The sequence below is a fragment of the Homo sapiens genome, chromosome 11 (assembly GCF_000001405.40).
Source record: "Homo sapiens chromosome 11, GRCh38.p14 Primary Assembly".
Lineage (NCBI taxonomy): Eukaryota > Metazoa > Chordata > Mammalia > Primates > Hominidae > Homo > Homo sapiens.
The window spans coordinates 71,283,478-71,288,381 of NC_000011.10; the positions used below are offsets into that span (position 1 = coordinate 71,283,478).

At 49.3% G+C, this 4,904-nt stretch overlaps 1 long non-coding RNA gene across 3 annotated transcripts; it reads left to right on the forward strand.

Annotated features, from left to right (window-relative positions):
- The first annotated feature begins 603 nt into the window (after nt 1–603).
- LOC124902706 (uncharacterized) lies at nt 604–4,340 on the forward strand. Of its 3 annotated transcripts, none has more exons than XR_007062765.1 (2): nt 604–1,645; nt 3,266–4,340. It is a non-coding gene; the product is annotated as an uncharacterized LOC124902706 (long non-coding RNA). The 3 variants fall into 3 exon arrangements; XR_007062763.1 differs by having other exon boundaries at nt 613–1,645; nt 2,941–4,340; XR_007062764.1 differs by having other exon boundaries at nt 640–794; nt 2,941–4,340.
- Nucleotides 4,341–4,904: the final 564 nt, after the last annotated feature.

A 4,904-nucleotide genomic window follows, 5' to 3' on the forward strand; every position in this document is an offset into this window, starting at 1 on the left:
CCTTCATCATTTTTGAATCCCCAGTACCAGGCTCAGTGCCCAGCACAACTGATGTGTGTTGAATAAACGTGCTCCACAGAGGGTGAACTATGTGGCTTTCCTAAGTGATTTTTCTTTTTCCTTTTTTTTTGAGATGGAGTTTTGCTTTTGTCACCCAGGCTGTAGTGCAATGGTGTAATCTCGGCACACTGCAACCTCCACTTCCTGGGTTCAAGCAATTCTCCTGCCTCAGCCTCCAGAGTAGCTGAGATTACAGATGTGTGCCACCACACCCGGCTAATTTTTGTATTTTTAATAGAGACGGGGTTTCACCATGTTGGCCAGGCTGGTCTTGAACTTCTAACCTCAGGTGATCCGCCCACCTTGGCCTCCCAAAGTGCTAGGATTATAGGCATGAGCCCCCACGCCTGGCCCCTAAGTGATTTTTCTATATCAAACACCAAGAAGAAACAGGGGCAGCGGAATGGAAGGCTCGGCTGCTTTCGGACAGGGGAGAGGTCAGCTTCTCAGAGCCTTCTTGACCTTCAGCCTCTGAGGCTCGTATCGGGAGGAGGGGCCCCGCTGACGCTGTTGAGTGCCAGCTGCCTGGGTTCAGAACAGGCCAGGCTGGTTGGGTTGGTTGTGTGTGGGAGAATCAGGAAGAGGGAGCTTGTTCATAATCCAGCTCGTTTACCCAACAAACAATAAAACAGAAGGCAGGATTGTTCGGAGATGCCGGATGGCAGCCATGAGAAAGACCCCACTGGTCTGAGAGGTCTGTGCAGGAATGCACGGAGCCTGGGAAACACAGAGAGGTATGGGGCCTGAGGGTGAGGACGCAGGACAGGTTAGGGACGGGTGGCGCTGGGTGCTGGCTCTGGCAGAGAGCAAGCCAACTGGGGGCATTTCTTTCCAGCCCCGTGGCTGATGGTCTCGCCGTGCGTGATGGTGAATTTTATGTGTCGCCTTGATGGGACCTTGGGGGTGCTCAGACATTTGGTCAAGCCTCTGTGTTTGCGAGGATGTTTCTGGATGGGACTAGCATTCAAATCTGCAGACCGAGGCAAGCAGAGTGTCCTCCCCGCAGAAGGTGGGCCTCACCTCATCCATCAGGGGCCTGAATAGAATAAAAAGTTGAAGAGGAGAGAATTATTTGCCTCTGCCTGTCTTCAAGGTGGAACCATAGGTCTTCTCCTGCCTTTGGACTTAGACTCAGCAGAAAGAGCACCTCCCCTGGCCAATGCTTTTGGCAGGATTCCAGAATGTGCACTCCTGGAGCCCTGGACCACGGCTGGCTTGGTTCCAGCCCATCTGTGACCATCTCTCCTAGGATGCTGGGATGTTCTGTGGGGCCAAGCTAGGGCTACTTGCCTACTTCTGCTGCAAGGGAGGGGTCAGCCCCATGGGAACCATAAGTGTGGGGATTGGGGCAGCCTGATTCTCTAGGAAGAACTGCTGCCCTCTTTCTAGGAAAAAGGAGAAGGGATTTCAGGCAGCCCAAGCTAACAGAGGCCTGCTGTGCACTTGTGTGTTCTGAGCACTGGCTAGGAAGTGCAGGGCTTCCAAGAAGACCTAAAATTCATGAGAACCAAGACAAGGCAGTGAAGGTGTGATCCTGATAAAAGGTGACCAAGACAAGGCAGTGAACGTGTCATCCTGATAAAAGGTGACTGCAGGGGCTGCCCAGGGCAGGGAGGGCTCAGCCTGGAGTGGGTCCATCCCGTCCTTGAGTCATTCTGTCCTTCCCCTCATCTGACAGGTGCCTGGCTCTTTGTTCTTCCTTCATCGTGGGGGACAAGGGTGCAGGGGACGACGTGTTCATTTTCCTCTCCTATGCTCAGCTCACGGCCCCCGCCCTCCACTCCCCGCCTCACACTGATCACTTTCCCATTCAGCAGGTTCGATGCACGCACAGGATGCACGCGCCTCCTTGCAGAACACCGTGTGGGGCTTCCAGTGAGCGCTTCATATTGTAAATGCCACTGTGCCCCGGATCCCACTGTTTCACTCAACACTGTTCTTGATTGTTGTCATCAAGTTTAAAAAAAAAATTATGGTAAAATACATATAAGCTAAAACTGACCTTTTTTTTTTTTTTTTTTTTGAGATGGAGTCTTGCTCTGTCCCCCAGGCTGGAGTGCAGTGGCACAATCTCAGCTCACTGCAGCCTCCGCCTCCTGGGTTCAAATGATCCTCCTGCCTCAGCCTCCCAAGTAGCTGGGATTACAGGCACCCACCACCACACCAGGCTAATTTTTGTATTTTTAGTAGAGACGGGGTTTCACCATGTTGATCAGGCTGGTCTCGAACTCCTGACCTCAAGTGATTTGCCCGCCTCAGCCTCCCAGAGTGCTGGGATTACAGGTGTGAGCTACTGCACCCAGCCCATTTTAACCATTTCTAAGTGTATTGTTCACTGGCATTAAGTTCATTCAAACTGTTGTGCAGCTGCCACCATCATCCATCTCCAGAACTTGTCATTTTTCCAAACTGAAACTCTGTTCCCATTAAACCCCAACTCTATGTTTCCTCCTCCCCCAGCCCCTGGCAACCACCATGCTACTTTCTGTCTCTATGGGTTTGACCATTCTAGGGACCTCATTTAACCTGAGCCCTACAGCCTTCACCTTTCTGTGGCTGATTTATTTCACTTGGCGTGACATCCTCAAAGTTCATCCATGTTGTCACCTGTGTCAGAATCTCCTTATTTCCAAGGCTGAGTGATATTCCGTTGTGTGGATGGACCACACTCTGTTTATTCATTCACCTGTCAATGGATGTTTGGTCCATTTCTACCTTTCGGCTAGTGTGAAAAAAAGCAGCTGAGAACATGAGTGTACAAATACCTCTTTGAAACCCTGCATTTAGTTCTTTTGGAGACAGACCCAGAAGTGGTATTGCTGGATGACATGCTAATTCCATGTTTAATTTTTGGAGAAACAGCCATCCCATTTTCCACAGGGGCCGCACCGTTTTACATCCCCACCCACAGTGTGCAAGGGTTCCAGTTTCTCCATGGCCTCGCTGACACTTGTTATTCTCCACCTCGTTGACAGTAGCCATCCTGAGGAGTGTGAGGTGGTGCTGTGTGTTATTCTCCACCTCATTGACAGTAGCCATCCTGAGGAGTGTGAGGTGGTGCTGTGTGTTATTCTCCACCTCATTGACAGTAGCCATCCTGAGGAGTGTGAGGTGGTGCTGTGTGTTATTCTCCACCTCGTTGACAGTAGCCATCCTGAGGAGTGTGAGGTGGTGCTGTGTGTTACTTTTACTTGTCTCCATGCAGCTAAGGGCACGCCAGTGCACGCCTAATGCAGGCGGGGTGACACCTGCACAGTTCCATCTGCTGCTTCACGACGTGTTGCTAACTCAGTCGCCGACCACTGGACTCTGGGCTGCTCCATTCCTAACTTCCACAGTGTTGATGGATACCGATGCAAGCCCTTCTGGGGAAGACACAGTGAGAGCCTCTCTCAGCCATGCATTCCTCAGCCTGACTGCAAGGTCGCAGCCCCCTACAAAGCCCAGTCTGAGTGCTTCCCAGGCTGCCATGTGCCAGGTCTCCCTCCCACGGCTGTCCTGGAAGGCTCTGCTTTGCACCAACTTGCCAGCACTTGGCATTAGTCAACCCTCTAGCTTTTACCAATCTGATGGGTGTAAAGGGAATTCCTGCGTTTTACTTTGCATTTCTCTGATTCCTGTGGGTTTGAGCAGCTCTTCATTGAATTGTGTGTCATTTGCACTTTCCCTTCTGGGAATTGTCTGTTGGGGTTGGCTTTCTGTCAACTTAAACAGGAGCAAACTTGGTTACTTTTAATTAAAAGCAGGCTCGTGGCAGCAGGGGAGTTTTACATGCATAGGAAGGTCAGGTCCAGCCCTGCCCATCTTCGTGCATACTCTCTCTTTGGTCACTGCTGTGCGGCATGGTGAGCTTGGCACCTGGCCTTCAGAATGCAGCCACAGAAGGGAGTTCATGGGCTAGGCATTCTGCTAAGGGACACAGCTGTCTCTGGCTCCTGCATCCAATTACTGGACTCTCTGCTTCATTGCTCTGGTGGAGCTGCCAGCCTGAGTCTCCACATGTTCTTTCAACACTCCCTTGGTGGCCAGCCCAGTGTGCTTTTAATCATTGACAAGCAAGAGGATGCCACAGAGAAGGATGTTGGCTGCTGTTCAGGCATTTGGGGACTGGCAGGGAGGGCTGCTGTCCACGACGGAGGATGCCACAAGTGGATTCAAGACTGAGTTTTTTGTTTTTCTATCCATCAACTCAAGCATTTGTTATTTTGTTTGTGTTACACATAGTCCAATTATACTCTTTTAGCTATTTTTAAATGTACAATAAATTTTTATTGATTCTAGTCACCCTGTTGTGCTATCAAATGCTAGATCTTATTCATTCTAATTATATTTTTGTACCCATTAGCCATCCCCTTTCTCTCCTTCCCACCCCCCAACTACCCTTTGCAGCATCTGGTAACCATCATTCTACTCTCTATCTCCATGAGTTCAATTGTTTTCGTTTTTAGCTCCCACAAATAACTGAGAACATTTGAAGTTTGTCTTTCTGTGCCTGGCTAATTTCGCTTAACATAATGACCTCCAGTTCCATCCATGCTGTTGCAAATGGCAGGATCTCATTATTTTTATGACTGAATAGTACTCCACTGTGTAAACGCACTGCATTTTCTTTATCCGTTCCTCTGTCAATGGACACTTAGGTTGCTCCCAAATCTTGGCTTTTGTGAACAGTGTTGCAATAAACATGGCAGTACAAATATCTTTTCGATATACTAATATCCATTCTTTGGGGTATATACCTAGTAATGGGAATGCTGGATCATATAGCAGCTCTATTTTTAGTTTTTTGAGACACCACCAAACTGTTCTTCACAGTGGCTGTACTAATTTACTTTTCCACCAAT